At 51.6% G+C, this 19,633-nt stretch overlaps 6 annotated features.

Moving 5' to 3' along the window:
• Positions 12,578-13,078: an enhancer, noted in NCBI's record as "H3K4me1 hESC enhancer chr21:46150268-46150768 (GRCh37/hg19 assembly coordinates)". NCBI's record gives its function as "activates a minimal SCP1, AML or CMV promoter by ChIP-STARR-seq in primed H9 embryonic stem cells {active_cell/tissue: H9 hESC(primed)}" and the evidence as "EXISTENCE:reporter gene assay evidence [ECO:0000049][PMID:30033119]".
• Positions 13,079-13,579: an enhancer, noted in NCBI's record as "H3K4me1 hESC enhancer chr21:46150769-46151269 (GRCh37/hg19 assembly coordinates)". NCBI's record gives its function as "activates a minimal SCP1, AML or CMV promoter by ChIP-STARR-seq in primed H9 embryonic stem cells {active_cell/tissue: H9 hESC(primed)}" and the evidence as "EXISTENCE:reporter gene assay evidence [ECO:0000049][PMID:30033119]".
• Positions 14,217-14,892: an enhancer, noted in NCBI's record as "H3K4me1 hESC enhancer chr21:46151907-46152582 (GRCh37/hg19 assembly coordinates)". NCBI's record gives its function as "activates a minimal SCP1, AML or CMV promoter by ChIP-STARR-seq in naive H9 embryonic stem cells {active_cell/tissue: H9 hESC(naive)}" and the evidence as "EXISTENCE:reporter gene assay evidence [ECO:0000049][PMID:30033119]".
• Positions 14,893-15,568: an enhancer, noted in NCBI's record as "H3K4me1 hESC enhancer chr21:46152583-46153258 (GRCh37/hg19 assembly coordinates)". NCBI's record gives its function as "activates a minimal SCP1, AML or CMV promoter by ChIP-STARR-seq in naive H9 embryonic stem cells {active_cell/tissue: H9 hESC(naive)}" and the evidence as "EXISTENCE:reporter gene assay evidence [ECO:0000049][PMID:30033119]".
• Positions 17,595-18,268: an enhancer, noted in NCBI's record as "H3K4me1 hESC enhancer chr21:46155285-46155958 (GRCh37/hg19 assembly coordinates)". NCBI's record gives its function as "activates a minimal SCP1, AML or CMV promoter by ChIP-STARR-seq in naive and primed H9 embryonic stem cells {active_cell/tissue: H9 hESC(naive and primed)}" and the evidence as "EXISTENCE:reporter gene assay evidence [ECO:0000049][PMID:30033119]".
• Positions 18,269-18,944: an enhancer, noted in NCBI's record as "H3K27ac-H3K4me1 hESC enhancer chr21:46155959-46156634 (GRCh37/hg19 assembly coordinates)". NCBI's record gives its function as "activates a minimal SCP1, AML or CMV promoter by ChIP-STARR-seq in naive H9 embryonic stem cells {active_cell/tissue: H9 hESC(naive)}" and the evidence as "EXISTENCE:reporter gene assay evidence [ECO:0000049][PMID:30033119]".

Consider the following 19,633-nt stretch of genomic DNA (forward strand, 5'->3'; position numbering starts at 1 on the left):
CCCCATTTCTATTTGTAATTGGTTATTGCTTGTATAAAGAAAATTGTTTCATTTTTTATAGTTATATCTAGCAACCTTGAAGTTACTATGTGATTTTAGAATCTCTTGTTTTTCTAGGATAAATAATTTTCCTCTTCAGTTTTACTATGTGTACCAATAGATTTGTTTTCTTATTTTATAGCATGAACTAGAGCCTTCAAAACAAATGTTGAAAATAGTGGCAATAGTAGACTTCTTATTTCATTCCAAATTTCAATGGTAATGGCTGTGGGGTTTGGTAGTCATTAACATATTAAAGAATTTTCCCTCTTTTCCTCTCAGAGTAGGAATGGCTGCTGAATTTTCTTAAATGCTGTTGCACATCAGTTGATATGGTTTCACATTTCCAATTTTAGTTGTTAATGGAATTAATTACAAGTATTGCTTTCCTAATGCTGAACCTCCTTACATTCCTGGAATAGATTACACAGAGTGAGGATGCATTTTTCTTTTAATATACTGCTGAGTTCAGTCTGATGTCGCCTTTATACACATTCTTCTCTTCTTAGTGCTGTTTCCAGGCAGTCCCCTCAGGCTTTGGTCTTCCCTAAATGCAGAGATTAAGAAATGGGTGCCACAGCCCACCCCTCTCCACTGAGGTGGGAAATGTTTCCCATCTCAAAAATGACCCCCCATCCACGGGTTCAGGCTAGAAATCCTCAAGTCATCCTTGGCATCTCTCTCAGAAAGACCCACTGAGTTTAACCTCAAGCACTCCTGCTCTCCTTCCTGGCCACCTTCCTGGTCCAGCCACTTTCGTTGCCCATAGCCTTCACTGCCCAATAGTCTCCCACATCTCCTTCAGGTCCCCTGGATCTATTCAGAGCAGTCTCTGCAAAACCCAGAACTGGTTAGGCCAGAACTCCCTTCAAGGACTTCTGGTTGCCCCCAGAATAAAGACGACATTCCAGGATGTGACCTATAGGGCCCTGGAGTGGTCTCGCCTGCCACCCAGCTGCAATTTCAGCCCTGCACCTGCCCTCCCTTTTATGCTGCAGCCACTAGGGTCTCCCAGGCACGCATCCATGATGAGCTTCCGCCTACCAAGGCTGCCCCCAGGCTGGGCCCTCTCCCTGAACACCCTTCCTCTGTCCCCATCCCAATTAACTCCTCTGCGGAAAGCCACCCCATTAGGAGCTCTCACTGCACTATGTGCTGCCCCTACTTCAGGGTGGTGGTTTTCATCCCTTGTTTAGGTGATCATTGTGTGTGTTTTTGCCCAGACTGGAAGCTCCAGGTGGCCCAGACCATGCTTCTTTAGGTTCAGCCTTGTATCTTCAGTGCCTGCCATTCAATAAATGTGTAACCAATCAGTGAATGAACTCATTATCTTGACTGTGGGCTGATACTAAGATTATGCTAGCTTTATAAAATTAATTGGAGTGCTTTTCATGCTTTTATATGGTCTAGAATATTTTGGCTAATAAAATTTGTTTCTTAAAGATAAACTGGAACTCGTTTGTGAAAACTTTTGAGCCTTCTTCACCTTGCAACATTTAAAACACTTTTCCAGCCTACAGAAAATTTGACAAACACTCTTCACCCCAATGCACTGCTAGTTACTACTTTGTCACATTTGCTTTCTCTCTCATGTCTACATGTGCCCATGTAAACTCTTTTTTGTTGTTGAATCATTTAGATGTAAATTATTAACATGATTTTCACTCTTAGATATCTCTGCACTGTCACCTCAAAATAAGGACACTCCAAATTTCTACAATAAGATTATCACATCTAAGAAAAATATCGTTGATCCCATAAAAATAGCTAATATACACTCTACATTTCAATTCCAGCTGGGGACTCTTCAGGTGGTAAATGCTTTAAACTTTCATATTTCTGTTATGATTATTGGTTTATTCTGGTTTTTTACTCTTTCATGAGATAATAGTGATGACATAGTTTTCTGGAAAATCACCTACTTCCTCCAAATTTTCAAATTTATTAACAAATAATTAACATAAAATGTCCTTAAAATAAATCTCTTCTGCATCTGCAATTCTGTTTTCTCATATTTAATGTTGCATATTTTTGTGTTCTGTCCTTCTTCCTTTTCTCATGAGTTTATCTATGAGTCTTTTGAATACCCAAGTTTTCTAGATGTATGTTAAAATTATGTTTTACCAAGCCCTTAGATATTCTGTTTTTCCCCTGGACCTGATATTTTATTAGCTTTATAATTCTTCCTTTCAGTTTTTGATCTTTAATACATTTAGACATATTTTAAGTACTTGGGTCCAGGTCTTACCCTGCTTTTTCTCCATATAGTAGACAGTTTTACCAACATTGCCTACAATTTGTGTGTGTTTGTGTGAGTGCGTATGTTTCTGAGCTCTCTATTCTGTTCCATTTCTCTCTGTAATTCTGTCTATTGTTGTATTATAAATTCCGATGCTATATTGTTAGGTGTATATATGTTCATGATCATTAAATACTCTCCATTTCTTTTTCCCTGGTTGGCACATAACATTCCTCTTTATCCCTGAAGCTCTCCTGAGCAACTCTAGCTCTGCCTCGGCCCTCACTCCACCAACATTCACAGGGTTTGATGTCCCTGTCACTTGTCTCTGCTTTCACTCACCAGACACCACCATACAGATTTCCACCTGACAAAAAAAAGTACCACAAGAGCCTACAGGAGGGGTATGGCTTTGAGGAGTTGGTGAAAGAGTCACAAAATGGGAGACATTTGAACCAGTCCTGAAATAGAGATACTTTGTAAATCTCCATGGTAAGGAGCCCAGGATTAACTAATTAATTTCATGTCAAATAGAACCTAATGCCCAGCTTATCTCCACCCTCTGCTTTTCCTCTTAATCACCTCTTTTCACTAGACTGAAAGGAGTGGTACTATAAAATAGCATTCATCATATTGAACCAAGTGAGTAAAGAAAAATATGCTGGACATAAACTGAGTCCCACACTCTCAGGAAAGCTACCCCCTTTTCCACGGGTCCAGGACTGCCTGCTCAGAGCCCATGAGAAGTATCCTCAGAGAAAGTGCCTTCATTTGGAAAATTAATGATGCTCTCACATTTGCTAGTGTGAGGGTTAATTTTATGTGTCAGCTTGGCTAGGCCATGGGACCCAGATATTTGGTCAAACATGCCTGGATATTGTTGTGAAGGTATTTTTTAGATGAGATTAATATTTAAATCAGGAGACTTTGAGAAAAGCAGATTATCTCCATCATGTGGGTGGGCCTCTTCCAATCAACTGAAAGCCTTGTGAAAAAGATTGACCTCCCCATGAAGAAGAGGGAATTCTGCCAGAAGTTGGCCTTCAGATTCGAACTGCTGTACCAACTCTTGCCTGGATCTCCAGCTTGCTGAACTCACCTGCAGATTTTGGACTTGCCAGCCCCCACAATCACATAAGGCAATTCCTTAAAATAAATCACTCATATATGTATACACACACACACACACACACACACACACACACACACACAAAGGAAGTGGGTGATTTTCCAGAAAAATATGTCATAGATAGATGATAGATAGATAGATAGATAGATAGATAGATAGATAGGGCCGGGCGCAGTGGCTCATGCCTGTATTCTGAGCACTTTGGGAGGCCGAGGTGGGTGGATCACCTGAGGTCAGGAATTCGAGACCAGCCTGGCCAACATGGCGAAACCCCGTCTCTACTAAAATTACAAAAATTAGCCTGGCCTGGTGGCATGCACCTGTAGTCCCAGCTACTCAGGAGGCTGAGGCAGGAGAATAGCTTGAACCCAGGAGGCAGAGGTTACAGTGAGCTGAGATTGCACCACTGCACTCCAGCCTGGATGACAGAGTGAGACTCTGTCTCAAAAATAAATAAATACATAAAAAGATAGATAGGGCAGTGCTTCTGAAATTATTTTCCAACATACACGCTAAGGTAGGGCGGGGAGAGTGGAGGAGGTGGAGGAAGAGGAGGGGGTTGAACTGAGGGTGTGAGGCTCCTGGATCTTGACCTCTTCACAAACAGAGGAGTTCTGCTTTTATTATTATCATATATTGGAGTTCTACGTAATGTCACTTTGGGGGAAAAAGATTCTCCTAAATTAAAGCGTAAAAGCCTGGAAACCACTGTTCTAGGGAATTTCTTTTTTTTTTTTTTTTTTTGAGATGGAGTCTCACTCTGCTGCCCAGGCTGGAGTGCAATGGCACAATCTCGGCTCACTGCAACCTCCACCTCCTGGGTTCAAGCGATTCTCCTGCCTCAGCCTCCCGAGTATCTGGGATTACAGGCGCACGCCTCCATGCCCAGCTAATTTTTGTATTTTTAGTAGAGACGGAGTTTCACCATGTTGGCCAGACTGATCTCGAACTCCTGACCTTGTGATCCAACTGCCTTGGCCTCCCAAAGTGCTGGGATTACAGGCGTGAGCCACTGTGCCCAGCCCTCTAGGGAATTTCAATGTGACCTATTTGATGGTAGGATCTGTTTTCTTTTTGCTTTTTTTTTTTTTTGAGACAGTCTCTCACTCTGTCACCCAGGCTGGAGTGCAGTGGCGCAATCTCGGCTCACTGCAACCTCTGCCTCCCGGGTTCAAGTGATTCTCCTGCCTCAGCCTCCCAAATAGCTGGGACTACAGATGCATGCCACCACGCCCGGATCCTTTTTTTTTTTTTTTTTTTTTTTTTGTATTTTTAGTACAGATGGGGTTTCACCATGTTAGCCAGGATAGTCTCGATCTCCTGACCTCGTGATCTGCCTGCCTCTGCCTCCCAAAGTGCTGGGATTACAGGTGTGAGTCACAGTGCCTGGCCGGGATCTGTTTTCAATGGACCCCCTTCCTTCAGTAGGTTGAGACATGAATTAGGCATTTATTTACTGTTTTCCACAATATTCTGCTCTATAATAATATCCCATAAATTTCTATGAGACTCTTTAGTATGAACTCAGCCCAGACAAACCCTTTCCAAGGACTCAGTAAATTATGTCACACTTGCAACTTAAGGAGGGCCCTGGAGTTTCTCTTTGAAGATTCTGGGCTCTGCCACATTTGTCCACAGTCGGTCTGATGTCCATGTGTGGAAGGCAGGTGTGGAGTGGCTGAGGGGGCCACGCGCTCCAGGAAGACAGAAGGCAGCTACTGTTGGCGGGGGAGGGGTGGGTAAAGCCTTCCTGCATCTCTAGCTATGACATCTCCACAGGCAAAACTCCCCTGCCCCCAGCGCAGGTCATCATTTCTACAATCATTTACTGCTGGAGACAAAATCTCCAAAGGACTGACTCAACAGTATGTTCTCTTGCAGAGAATCAAGGGAATAGGGGTAAGAAAGAACTATTTTTTCCTCCTTTTCCCTCAATCACTGACTTTTGGCTTATTTCAAATACCAACATCTGCATCGGTGCAAGCATTCGACCGAGTTTTCTTAGCTCGTTAGGGAAAGGAAGCCGACGTTCAGTTGGCGAGGCTTTCTGGTCTAAAGGCACAGGCAAGGGAGTGTTGGCCATTTGTCTCCTAGACGACCAGGCGGCCTCAGCCACGGTGGAGGCCACCGGCGCGCCTTCCCCTCGGGTTCACCAAGCCTGTCATTTTCAGCCTGCCCGAGGCAAAGCCCACCCTACCCAGCCAAGCATGTTCTTAAAATTCTTTACAGATTAACCCACGTGAATCTAAACCCGGTAGAGGCAAACGCTTTCCCTTCCACTGTGAGCTGCGTTGTAATTTACCCCAACGACCTGTTGAAAAGACCAAGGGAGCTTAGCAACCAGCCGTCCCCAGGGCCCCGGGGGGAAGCTGCAATTACCGGGTGCGAGGCCGGCGGGGCCGCAGCCCCCACTTCAAAGGCGCGGGAGGAGCCGAGGGAGGCGGAGCTGTAATTAGTGCGGGCCCCGCCGGGCGACCACGGGCCTGCTCACGCCTCGCGGCCTCCGAGGAGCAAGGAAAGGCCCGCGTGGGAGCGAAGAGCCAGGGAGGAACAAAGACGCCTCCTGTTTGATGTGAATCACCCAGAACTAGGGAAGGGAGGCGGGCGCACCTCTCCCGCCCAGTCCCTGCAGAGTCAGGGCGCAGAAGGAAGCCTGGCTCAGGGGCGATGGCGTGGGACGGCGACCCCGCCCTGCCCGTGCTCCCCCAGCGCCTGAAGCAGGATGGAGATGCCCTGGTCTGCCCCCGGCCAGGCTCCCTGGACCCTTTGGGATCTGCGGACACAGGGCCTGGACTGGCCACATCCCTGCTCCCAGACAGAGCACAGACCCCGCTGGGGCCCGCCCTGGGTGTCCGCATAGGGAGGGGGCTGGAGAGCAGGAGCCCCCCCGCGCCGCGCCTAAGGGGACCAGGAGCCATGGGGAGGATGCTGTGGGGAAGCTTCCAGAAGGACCCACCCAGGGAGACGGAAGGGTGGGATTCAAGGTGGCCGACCACCAGCCACCTGCCTGATGGCTTGTTGATCCCAGACTGCCTCCAAGTATTCTGGCCTCCATATTGGTGTGCTACGCTTGTTATCTTAAGGTGTTTTTAAAACCCGGTTTTCTAAGGACACAGATGCAGGATGTGCCCTCCGGCAGCCAGGTGCTGACTGGGGCTCAGGGTCTGTGTGGGTGGGTGCGGCTGTGAGTGTGGACGGGCGTGTGTGTAGGAGTGACTTCCTAGAATGAATCCAAGAGGAGCCTCTTTGGGGAAGGTGGTGGGGCCAGGTGGGAAGGCTCTGGCTCTGTGGGGAAGGTGGTGGGGCCAGGTGAGAAGGCTCTGGCTCTGTGCACATTTCTGTAATATCTAAATATTCCAGGTTTCAATCATGAATTACTTCTTTTCTAGAAGGACCAAAAGGGATCATTTGCGATTATGAGCTATTTTTCTTCTTATGATTTTCTAGTACATTTTTAAAAATCTGATAAAGTGGACAGGCGCAGTGGCTCACACCTGTAATCCCAGCACTTTGGGAGGCTGAGGTGGGCAGATCACCTGAGGTCAGGAGTTCGAGACCAGCCTGACCAACATGGAGAAACCCCATCTCTACTAAAAATACAAAATTAGCCGGGTGTGGTAGCGGGCGCCTGTAATCCCAGCTACTCAGGAGGCTGAGGCAGGAGAATTGCTTGAACCCGGGAGGCAGAAGTTGCGGTGAGCCAAGATCACACCATTGCACTCTAGCCTGGGCGACAAGAGCAAAACTCCGTCTCAAAAAAAAGAAAAAAAAAAGTCTTAAACTAGGACTATGCTTTTGGAGCATGTCGCAGGGATCTGAGGCTTGGGGTAAGCGTCGGAGACTGGCTCATTTGGAGCTTTTGGAGCATGTCGCAGGGATCTGAGGCCTGGGGTAAGCCTCGGAGACTGGCTCATTTGGAGCTTTTAAAGCGTGTCGCGGGGACCTGAGTCCTCACAGACTGGCTCATTTGGAGCTTTTGAAGCGTGTTGCGGGGACCTGAGTCCTCGGAGACTGGCTCATTTGGAGCTTTTGGAGTGTGTCGCGGGGACCTGGGGCCTGGGGTAAGCCTTGGAGACTGGCTCATTTGGAAAGGGCTCACCAGGCTGCAGTCACTGTGTGGACTTCCCCAAGGGCCACCCTGTGCCCTGCTTAACATTTTGCCAAAGACAGAAATGGCAAGTTCAAAAAAGTGAGGTTGACAAAGTGAAGTGATAACCCACAGAATCAAAGAAAATATTTGCAAACTATCCATATGGCAAGGGATTCATAACCCAAATATATGAGGAGCTCAGACAACTCAATGGCCAAAAAAAAAAAAAAGCAGCCAGGTGCAGTGGCTCACACCTGTAATCCCAGCACTTTGGGGGGCCAACACAGGTGGACTGCTTGAGCCCAGGAGTTTGAGACCAGCCTGGGCAACATGGCAAAACCCTGTCTCTACAAAAAATACAAAAATTAGCCAGGCGTGCTGTTGCACACCTGTGGTCCCAGCTACTCCGGAGGCTGAGGCGGGAGGATTGGTGATTGATTGCTTGAGCCCGGGAAGCAGAGGCTGCAGGGAGCCATGACTGTGCCACTGCACTCCAGCCTGGGCAACAGAGTGAGACCCTATCTCCAAACAACAATAACAAACAATAATCATCCGATTAAAAATGGGTAAAAGATGTGAACAGACTTTTCTCAAAAGAAGACATACAAAGGCCAACAGGTGTTTTAAAATATGCTCAACATCACTAATCAGCAGAGAAATGCAAATCAAACCACAGTGCATTACCATCTCAGCCCAGTGAAAATGGCTTGTATCAGAAAGACAGGCAATAACAGACGCTGGTGAGGGTGTAGAACACTGTGGGTGGGAAGGTAGCACAGTACAGCCCCTATGAGAAACAGTACGAAAAGCACAACTACCATGTAATCCAGCAATTCCACTACTGGTATTTATCCAAAAGAAAGGAAATTAGTATGTCAGAGATCTCTGCACTCCTGTGTTTATTGCAGCACCGTTCACAATAGCCAAGATACGGAATCAACCTAAGGGCTTATCAGTGGATGAATGGATAAAGAAAATGTGGTAAATATACACAATGGAATATTATTCAGCTATCGAAAAGAATGAAATCCTGTCATTTTCAGCAACATAGATGGAACTGGGGGTCATTATGTTAAGCGCAATAAGCCAGGCACAGAAAGACCAACATCTCACGCTGTCACTCGTGTGGAAGCTAAACCAGAGGCTCCCGTGGAGGCAGAGAGTGGAATGGCGGTTCCCAGAGGAAGGAGGCGGAGGGGCGATAAAGGAGGGAAATCTAAACGTGTTTCTCGTCACTGAGCTGTACGCTTTAAAATGGTGCAGATGGTACATTTTATATGTATGTTATTCCTCAATTTAAAAATTAATTTTAAAAGCGAGGTTAATGTTGCAAATGTTGTCACTGAGGCACCCACGTGTTTACCTTAAATTGCGTTTTGTGGCACTCAGGGACAGGCAGGCTATTTAAAAAGTGTGCATTTTTTCAGCTTCACTAGAAATAGAATTTGTGGCAGTTTGTGGACTTTGTCACGAATCAAGCTTTCCTTTGGGAAGATCTTTCCTGTGTGGGCTTGGGTGAGTGCCTTTGCCTGCTGGAGGGAGGGGGAGCCTGCCTCAGTGGTGGTGGGGGCTGTGGGGATGGAGTCTTTATCCCATAAGGAGCTCTCAGTGTGCCCAGGCATCTCATAGGGATTGTACCCACCATCCCCATGGTGGGCTGATTCCGGGTCTCACCAACAGCCCTCATGACCCACCTGCTGGGCACCATGAGCCCGCCCCAGCTGCCCTGCAGATCACAGATGCCGGAAAGGCTCCCGGTGCCTGCTCCTGCTCCTGCAGCTGAGCAGCCAGCCACACCCGCTCCTCCTCCCCAGGTCCACAGCCGCCAAGTTCTGAGTCTTCCCCACCCCAAGCCTGTCCCTTTCTCCACCAAGGGCCAGCACAGCCATCTGGGTTGTCCACACCAACTCCCCTCCACAGTCCTCATTCCTGAAGGCACCCCTCCCTACTCAGCCCTGCCGCCTCTTCCTCTAAGGGACCCCTCCTGGACAGGGTTCTCAAAGTCCAGTGCACACAAAACCCTGGGGGTTCCAGCTTGTGAGGTCAGCATGGGCTGGGAGTGCCCTGACCCCACTTTGAGAAACACCACAGCTCCATCCCCAGCAGAGGTGCTGGTCCCCCCAGGGTCCTTCTCCATCTTGGAGGGACATGTGCCCCTCACTTGCTCCTACTCAGGATCTAGGCCTCCTTGCTGCACCCAGCACAGCTGCCCTGAACTCCCCCTCCCCTCCGCCGCAGCCTCCCCTCCGCCGCAGCCTCCCCTCTGCCACAGCCTCCCCTCCGCCACAGCCTCCCCTCCGCTGCAGCCTCTCTGGCCTCCTGTGAACTGCTTGGCTGTTCCTAAGCCTTGGTCCCTGGAAAATCCCAGTTCCAGCTCAGCGCCCACATCCAGGTGATGCTCAAATGGGCCCAGCCTCAACTCTCAGCCCACAGAGCTCAGAGGACGGCTGAGGCCTCTGGTCAGAAGACCCCAGGCTTCCCCGAAGGAAGGGACACCTCACGAGGACAGCCTGTCACCACAGTCCTAATGGACTTCCAGGGACCACAGTGCCAGCGCTTTCCATCAGAATGGCTGACAGTATTAGAGATCATACATCATTCATTTGCCTCACGAACCCCGAGGGAGTGCTTGCTCCAGAGAGACCCCTGGGCTCCCAGGGCCTGGCACTGGTGACAGTGGCATGGGAGGGGCACATGAGCCGGGTGGCACAGCAAGGCAGCACCGTGACCCTAGGGGTGCTGTGGGCGGAGAAGATGGGGGCAGTCCTGGGCTGCTGAGCTTCTCTGAGGGGTCATCGTCCTTCAGGCAAGTGGCAGGAAGTGGCCCACAGGCTTCCAAGCTGCGGGAGCAGAGTGAACAAGCAGCAGGAAGAGCTGAGAGTCCTGGGAACAGTGGAGCCTGCATGGAGGGGACAGGAAAGGGGATGGAGTCCGGGGCAGCAGTGAGAGACCCAGAGGACGAGAGACCTGGAGACACCTGCAGCCCTGGGAGACGCCCTGGCAGCCAGGGCTCAGGAAAAACCATCCTCAGAGAAGACACACGAGGTCATTATTCAGAACAAGAGTAGGTAGATAAAAGCATATCCTTTGGGAGGCTAAGGCGGGCAGATCACCTGAGGTCAGGAGTTCGAGACCAGCCTGACCAACATGGAGAAACCCCATCTCTACTAAAAATACAAAATTAGCTGGGCGTGATGGCGCATGCCTGTAATCCCAGCTACTCGGGAGGCTGAGGCAGGAGAATCATTTGAACCCCGGAGGCAGAGGTTGTGTTGAGCCGAGATCGCGCCATTGCACTCCAGCCTGGGCAACAAGAGCAAAACTCCATCTCAAAAAAAAAAAAAAAAAAAAAAAAAAAGTATATCTTGGCATTAGTGCTATTCTCAGCATCAGAAGTCAAAATGGCAACTCATTAAGCATCACCACCAGCGATGTTTGTGGTGGGAGAGTGGAGACCATAGACCCCCAGCATTGATAATGTTGGTCCAAGTAAAATGCAAGAACTTCAAATGCAAGGGTCAAAGTGTCCCTTGAATAACCGCATTTTTCTCGGGTAGAATTCCAAATTACAGCGAGTTCATAGCACTGGTCCTGCCCCGCCACGATGACCCACTTGGTGTTGATGGACGAGAACGCGCTTGTGTCTTACTCGTGCAGTTTGCTAAACTAACAACCAAAAGGCCATCGCGCCCTTACAGTTTTATTCCCCGCTGACAGATTTGAGGGGAGCTGTCAGGTGGGAGGCTTCTGAGAGCATTCTAGCCTATTACACCCAGCAAATAGATTACATCACTTAGACATACGTTTGCTTTTAAAAATAACTTTATTTTTCCTACGACACAAGTAATAATAGGTTCCTTGTTGAAACCTCATCACATATGGATGACAAAAAGTAGGAATGAAAACTGATCACAATTTCACTGTCAGAGATAGACACTGAGCATCTCGGCACCGTGCAGCAAGAATGTATGTAGATACCCATGGTAGATAAAAAATATATGATATATGGGCATAAAACATGGACTGTCCCGTCGTCTTCTGTGAGCCGCCAGCACAGCTGATGATGTGGGTGGCACAGGCATTGAGTCACCACTGGGAGTGGCCGTCATCCCTCTCCTGAAGAGACGGGGGATAGGGGGCCTGTGGGGCACCTGGGGATCGTCCCCTCCTCCACATGGCCTGTGCAGCTGGTCAGAGTGAGCTCACCAGGAGCACCGGCTGCTCCCAGCCCTGGGCCCCCTTGAGTTCTCCACCAGCACCCCGCCCCTGCGAATATGCACAGATCAAGGGGACAGGGCCCCGCTGGGCCACAGGCTCAGGACAGGTGACCATCCAAGAGGGCCGGGAAGTGGAGGGTGCTGCACACTGGCCTGCTGGCCCAGTATCACCCGATCTCGTGTCTGCCTCTTGAGCGCTGATGGTGTGCGTCTGTGCCCCTCACAAAACAGCACTGCGGTAAGTCCAAGACACAAGCGGGCCAAAGACTCAAGGCAGTGCAGAAGGCGGCACGTGTTCCAGGGGAACACGGCACCCCTGACCATAGCAAGAGGCACAGGAAAGCGGCCTGCAGCAGGGAGGGGGCGGAGAGCCTGGTGTCTTCTGCATCCTAGGGAGCCAGGCTGCCTGTGCCCCAGTGGCTTCTCCATAACTTCTGGGTTCTGTGGATGTCCCCTGCAGCCGGGACTCCTGACCGAGGCAGCTCCGTCAGGGTCCAACTGATTCCCCGCACATTGGGCAAGAGGTGGTTCCTAATCACACATCAGCTTCTTGATGACCGTTAGTGGATTTTGGCTGCTGTAAGAAAATACCACTGACTGGGTGTTTCAACAACAAGCTGTGTTCCTCACAGTCTAGGGGCTGGAAGTTGGAGGCCAAGGTGGCAGCAGGGTCGGGTTCTGGCAAGGACACTCTTCCTGGTTTGCTCGCGGCTGTCTTCTTCTTGCACCCTCATGTGGCAGACAGAGCAAAAGTGACAGCATGCTCTCTGGGGTCTCCTTCATAAGAGGACCCCATCATGAGGGCCACAACCTAATCACCTCCCAAACGCCCTGCCTCCTAGCGCCACCACACCAGGGTTAGAATTTCTATATAGGAACTCTGGGGAGATGCAATCGGCCCATAACATTCTATTCCTGACTCCGAAATTGTACGTCCTTCTCATGTGCAAAACACATTCATTTCACCCCTCCAACCCCAAAGTGGTGGCTCGTTCTGCCATCAGCTCTAAAGTCTAAAGTCCAAAGTCTCATCTAAACATCATCTAAATCAGATACGGGTGACACTCAAAGTTTACTTCCTCCCTAGCTGTGAACCTGTAAAATGGAACAAGTTACATGCGTTTAAAATACAATGGTGGGAGAGCCATATGACAGACTTTCCCATTCCGAAGGGGGAAATGGGAAGGAAGAAAAGGGTAACAGGTCCCATGGAGCCTGGACCCCAATAGGGCAAACAATGTTAAATCTTCAGGCTCAAGAATCATCTTCTTTGGCTTGAGCCCCTGCCCTCCAGACCCACTACGGCCATGGTCCTGCCCCTGCAGCTCTGGGGGGCAGGGGTCATGCCTGCAAGGCTCTGGGCAGCCCTGCCCCCAAGGCTTTGGGCAGGGAGCATCTGGCCTGTTGCTCCCAGGGAGCAGCTGCCCATGTGGCAGCCCTGATGGACTCTAAATCACCTTCTGGGTCCTTCTTCCCTTGTCTTGAAGAATAGTGCATGTTCACAGCCAAATAGCTCCCTGGTCCTGCTCGGTACAACCCAAGAGGTCAGACGGCCAAACTCACTTCCTTCCCCTCTCTCCCACCTTTGGTTCAAGCTGAGTGTTCCTGCCGGGACAGCTGGTTGTGACTGTGGTTCACACCCACACAAATCCCCTTATCAGATGGTCATCTGGCTATGCCCTTAATGTTCTCTTCCAAACACACATTCTCATTTTTTTACATTATGCATAGGCTGAGGATTTTCCAAATCTTTAAGTTCTGGTTTCTTTTTGTTTAACAGCTTGGTCTTGAAATCATTTCTAGCTTCTCACATTTTACCATAAGCAGCCAGGAGGAACTAAGCCGTCCCTTCAACACTTTGCTTATAAACCCCCTCAGCCAAGTATCGTGTTTCATTACTCACAAGTTCTGCTTTCCACACAACACCAGGACACAAACATAGTTCGGCCGAGTTCTTTGCTGCTTTTTAACAAGGTGGCCTTTCCTCCAGTTGACACTAGCATGTTCCTGGTTTCCATCTGAGCCTTCCCATCCAGGGTTCTGCTCACGATCCCCTAGGCGTCCTCTGAGAAGACAGAGGCTCTCTCTGCAGTGCTTCTCTTCTTGCTGAGCCCGCACCAGAATCACCTTTAAAAAGCTGTTCGTAGCCATCTAGGCTTTTTCTAGCATGTGGCTCCGAATGATTCCAGCTGCCCCCATTCATCAGTTCCAAGGCCACATCCACATTCACAGGCGTTGGTTGCAGCAGCTCTCACTCCTCGCACTGATCTTCTGTCCTGGCTTGGGTGCCGCAACGGTGCCTGTAGACTGGATGGTGTTCAGAAAACAGGCATTTATTTCCTCACAGTGCTGGGGGCTGGGAATTGGAGACCAGGGTGCCAGCACAGTTGGAGTCTGTTAAAAGCTCTCCCAGGTTGCAGACAGCTGTCTTTTCACTGTGTCCTCACACAGTGGAAGGGGCAAGGCAGCTCTCTGGGGCCTCTTTTATATGGACACGAATCCCATTCACAAGGGCTCCACTCTTATGACCTCATCAGCCCCCAAAGGACCCATCTCCTAATACCCTCACCTTGGGGGTTATGGTTTCAACAGATATATTTAGGGGAGACACAAACATTCAGTCCACGACAATGACCACAAAACCCAGATTTTAATTCAGTGAAATCCAAACAACATGGCAAGACTCCTCACATCAAGATGCTCAGGTTTTATGTCACATGGAAAGCTAGTCACAGCCCCATCCAACACAAGTCCTATCTGCAAAATGCTGACAACCTGGTGGCAAGAGGACGGTGAGGGAAGGAGAGGGACAGGCAGGGAGGAAAGGCAGGCTCCACAGAGGAGATGCAGGTGAGGGGAAAGGAGCACTGGGAATGGCTGGGCGTGAGACTCGGAGCCAAATACACAGCAGTAGAGGGACTTCTGCCCCTGCAACAGTGAGGAGGCACCTGCGGCCTGGCACCTGCGGCCTGGGCATGGGAGCTCAGGAAGCAGCAGCAGGCTTGGGAGATGCCTGGAGCTGAAGGAGCACAGCCGCGGCCGGGGCCCAGACCGGGCACGTCCTGCAGGGCTCAGCTTCCCCCAGCACAGCTCAGTTTTAGGAATAGGATAAAGTGGCATTAAAAGACAGAAGCAAGATGGGGGTAAATGAAAACAAACTGTGTTTACCACACTTCTGACACCAAATGTGTGGGTTTCCATACCAATTCTCCAATTCTGCGTCAGTGCCAATGGGGTATCCCGCAATCTAATTCAGTTCTGACACCAACTGACCAGGGTCAGCACAGACCCCTCAGGCTGAGGGATGGGCCCAGGAAACTGTCCCCACTCCAAGTGCCAATCACAGGTCCCGGGGTGTCATCTGTCCCCAGTACCTCGGCTATAAATTGGGAGTTCCCATGACCCCCTCCTTAGGTTCAATAATTTGCTATAATAATTCACAAAACTCAGGGAAACGTCACTTCTGTTTGCTGGGTTACTCTCCTAATAAAGGGTGTGCTGAAGGACACAGATGAGCAGCAGGTGAGGGGTGCGCAGGGCAAGGCCCAGAGGGACCCTGAGTGCAGGAGCTGGCATCCGTGGAGCCCCGGCTGCCCCGCCCTCCCAGCTCAGGATGTGTTCCCAGCCCGGTAGCTCTCTGCATCCTCTGTGTGGGGGTTTGAAGGAGCCTCCGTGACGCATGACTGGTGAAGTTAGTGACTCCTGGTGACTGACTCAGTCCCCAACCTCTGCACGGAGGTCACAGGTTCCAGCAAGTCCCAGCCTCGAATCCTGCCTTGGTCTTTCTGCCACCAGCACCCCATTCTGATGCTGCCTAGGTCCCCGCCTCCAGTCATCTGCCTTAATCTTTCTGCCACCAGCGCCCCATTCTGAAGCTGCCTAGGGCCCCGCCTCCTGCCTTGGTCTTTCTAGCCACCAGCACCCCATCCTGAAGCTGGCTAGGGCCCCACCTCCAGTCATCTGTCTTGGTCTTTCTAGCCACCAGCACCCCATCCTGAACCTGGTTAGGGCCTCACCTCCAGGCATCTGCCTTAATCTTTCTGCCACCAGCACCCCATTCTGAAGCTGGCTAGGGCCTCACCTCCAGGCATCTCATCAACAAACAGAAAACATTCATGTCTCCCAAGAGTCCAAGGGTCTTAGGAGCTAGGACAAAATATTGTAACACGTGATGTTTCTCTCACCCCATCGCTCAGGAAGTTACAAGGGCTTTAAAAGCTCCATGCCAGGAATCTGTTTCTGATTATGCCACGGGGCCTTCTAGTACCGGGGCAGAGGCTACATCCAGGCTACTGCACGGCTGTGTTTCTGGAAGAGCAGATCCATACGGAGTGTGACCTGACTCTTGGGCAGGTTTTCGGCTGTCTCTGATGGCTGTGCCTGCCCTCCCTGCCCCTGGAGCTGGGCCTGGCAGTGGGTCTTCTGGGTGGGGGCGATTGCTGGCTCTTGGCTCTGACTGCTTGCTTCCTGGGCCTTGGGCCATGGGCAGCAGAGACTCAGGGCATGGGGTACTCCCTCCCCTTGAGCCTTGAGTAACTTCAACCCTCCTTGGACTTGCAACATGCAAAAATAGATCTTGGCTGTTTTGACCCACAGGGATGTGGGCTGCACGTTATGTGAGCTGAATGGCGCATCTGGGCCTGTGTCTCGTGACTGACTCAGCTGCTTTGGCTCTTGGCCTCGGAGTGTAGGGTGCCCGGCCTCGGAGCATTACCCCCGGGAGGTAAAACCCTTGTGGGGTCAGGACATGTCATCCATGAGAAAGTGCCACGTGGCCTGAAGTCAGCATCCCCACACATGCTGTGGCTCTCTGTCCTCTCTGAATGTCACTGCTCGAGATAGGGCCCGGCTTGGGTGGGGCTGCAGGCGGGGTTAAACTGCCCCTGGGTGAGAGGGAAGAGCAAATCCCTTCACTTCGCTGGGCTTCCATTTCCTGACCCATAAAATGGGAACCCTGCTGGTGGCCATTGCCCTGCCTCCCCGAGTTCCTACAAAGCAGGTGGCCTGGGTCTGGGCTCAGCCCCCTCCACTGGGCCAGGAGATAATGCCATTAGTGTAACCACAGCAGTGGCCACTCCCAAATGCCACTCGGCCCCTGGAAACTCAGCCTTCCATCCAAAAGGTCCCCGAAGTGGGGAGCGGCCCCTCAGTCATTCCACACAGCAGGCCCCACCCACCCCCCCGTGCCGGGGATACACGTGCTCAGGGCACACTCCATATGGATCTGTCGTCTGCCTCGATGACTTTTCACCCACACATGGGATTCAAGGCATGATACGGGTCTTTAGGACATAACTGTTTAATTCCTGAGCTTCCCAAAACTCGGAGGTTTGGGAGAAATGGGGCTGGAGCTAGAGCAATAGCCATGTGCCCTGTGGACTCTGGCCAGCTCTTGCTGCCATCCCGCCTGCCCCGGCCCCGTCCTCTTCCAATTCCCGTTTACAGCCCTGCCCTCCGTGCCTGTCCCAGGCACCTCTGGCCTCCTCGCTGTGGCCCATGCCAGGTCATTCCCTACTGTCAGAGCCTCCCTCTCCCAACCCCAGGCCCCGGCTGCAGGGAGGGTGCCAACAGGAGGGGGCAGGACAGGAGAGGCCCCATCCCCGGAAATGAGACCAGAGCCGCTCTGGGAATGGCCAGGGCTGCCCGGCGGCAAGTCACGAGCAGGGCGTCACTGTCCCAGCGCGGCTTCCCAGCCTCCTGCAGGGGCCAGGGTTGGGGTGCATTCTCTGTCTTCTCAGTGAGGACGCGCAAATGTTCCAGGATGGAAGATAAATGTTCAGGAAAACGAGGACCCAGAAATTCTTCATGGGCTGCATGAGCCCTGAGGCCCGACTGGCAGGCCACTGAGGTCACCTGAAAAACTGGTGACAACGGGCGGGCTCAGCGGCTACCCGGGGACAATCACGGCAGGCGGAAGAGCGGCACTGGCGTGGAGCTCCCAGGCTCTGTGAGGCTCCAGGCAGCGCCCTCTCCAGCCCTGGCAGCCAGGCTGGGGTCCCCAGCTCCCAGTGTTTACCCAGCAGGCCCTGCCTTCTGACAAATTAACTCTGAAAGGCTTAAAAAGTGTGCCGTGTGCTTTGGCTCTGACCTAAGATAGACGACACAGCAGAACACACAGAGGGTGTCCCACTTGAGGAGCCTCCACACAGGCAGCGAGGTAATCCAAAGCTCTGAATTCCAGGTCAGGCCCACGCACCACGAGGAGAGAGGAAGCAGATGGTCCTCCTTGCAGGGATGTGTCACGTCCTCCCACAATACACAGGGTCTCCATCCCCCAACGGGGTCACGGGTGCTCCCTGCAGGGTGCAAGACAGTGTCCTTCCTTGTGGTCTAGGCTGGAGAAAGGTAGACTTCAGGGGAGAAGAGCTGGTTCCTCTCAAGGTGGCGGCCAGCTGAGATGTCAGGAGTGCCAGTGTCCTGGGGCTGCTGTGACAACAGCCACAAACCAGGCAGCTTAAAGCAACAGAAAAGTCTTGTCTCAGGCCTGGAGCCAGAGGTCTCAGATCAAAGTGTCACTGGGCCGCACTGTCTCTGGAGGCTCCAGGGGAGGATCCTTCCTGCCTCCTCCAGCTCCTGGCAGCTGTGGTGTTTCCCGGCCTGTGGCCGCATCACTGCAACCTCTGTCTCCCTTGTCATGCGGCCACCTGCTGAGTCTCTGTCTCCACACGACCTTCACATAAGGACATATGCCTCTTGGGTTAGGGCCACCCCAATGACCTCACCTGCACTTGATTATACCTGCAAAGACCCTTTTTCCAAATAAGGGCATATTCACAGGAAAAAGACTTCAGCATCTTTTTTGGGGTGGCCATGCAGAATCATGGGTGTTTCTGTGGGCCACTGCAGAGGGCCTGAAGTCCAGCCTGTCAGTGGTGAGCTAGGGAAACTGAGGCAGAGAGATCCAGAGGATTCTTTGAGGCACAGCAAGCTGGAGAGGAGCTGGGCCTGCTCCTGGCCGGATCCTCTGGGGCTCTCCAGAAGCCTCGCCTTGAGGCCGTCACAAAATCCCTGTCCTGTTGCCACATCCCTGGGTACCCCAGGCCCACCTGACTTCCCACTCTGTCCTAGCCAGCAGCAGCAGGGCCGTTGCAGGCTCCACATGCTTCCAGGGCACCAGCCCTCCCCGAGTGACACCCCCTTCTCATCATCTGCCAGTTCACCCACACAAGAGTACACAGGAGGAGTGGGCATCTTTTTTAGGGTCCCTCTGGCAAAGCTGCACAAGGTTCACTGAGATGATCATTTACAGTAGGCTGCATGTCCAGAGGCCAAGGAAATAGCCTGGTGGGAACAAGTTAGCAAACACGGTGAGGACACCACAGTCCAGCTGAACTCACAGAGCACGGGCACCAGGCCAACATAGTGAGTGACGCAGCTGCCCTGACTGGGCTGGGCATCCATGGGAGGGGCAGACACTGGTGCTTAGCAAGGACCTGCAGGGCCCTGTACCCTGAGATAAATCACAGCTCCCTCCTGAGAGCCCTTCTGGGTGTCCCCCATCTGCTGTGGGGCCACAGAGGCCATGTCATGGTGGATCATGGAAACAAACGTCCCACAGAGGGGAAAGCAGAGAGAGATGGGGCAGCTGGGATGCAGCAAGCAACAGGCCAAGCCTCTCTGAGAAGGGACTTGATGCAGAGGCCCTCTGCAGGGGACAAAGTTGAAGTTTCCAGAGAACAGCCAGGGGAGGGGTGGGGTGGAGGGCAGGGGGAGGGGGAAGGACAGGTGGGGGCTGGGCAGGTGAGCAGGGGAGGGACAGGCGAGTGGGGGCAGGCTTCATGTGTTTTGTGGGCAGGGAAGGGTGTCTGTGTCTTACTCTGGTGTAACAAGGAGCCAGGGAGGGTTTGAACAGGGTGGGGTGCATGATCTGAGCACCAGGGAGAGGAGACTTGGGGGCAAAGGTGGGAGCAAGAGACTGT

The sequence above is a fragment of the Homo sapiens genome, chromosome 21 (assembly GCF_000001405.40).
Source record: "Homo sapiens chromosome 21, GRCh38.p14 Primary Assembly".
In the NCBI taxonomy this organism is placed as follows: Eukaryota; Metazoa; Chordata; class Mammalia; order Primates; family Hominidae; genus Homo; species Homo sapiens.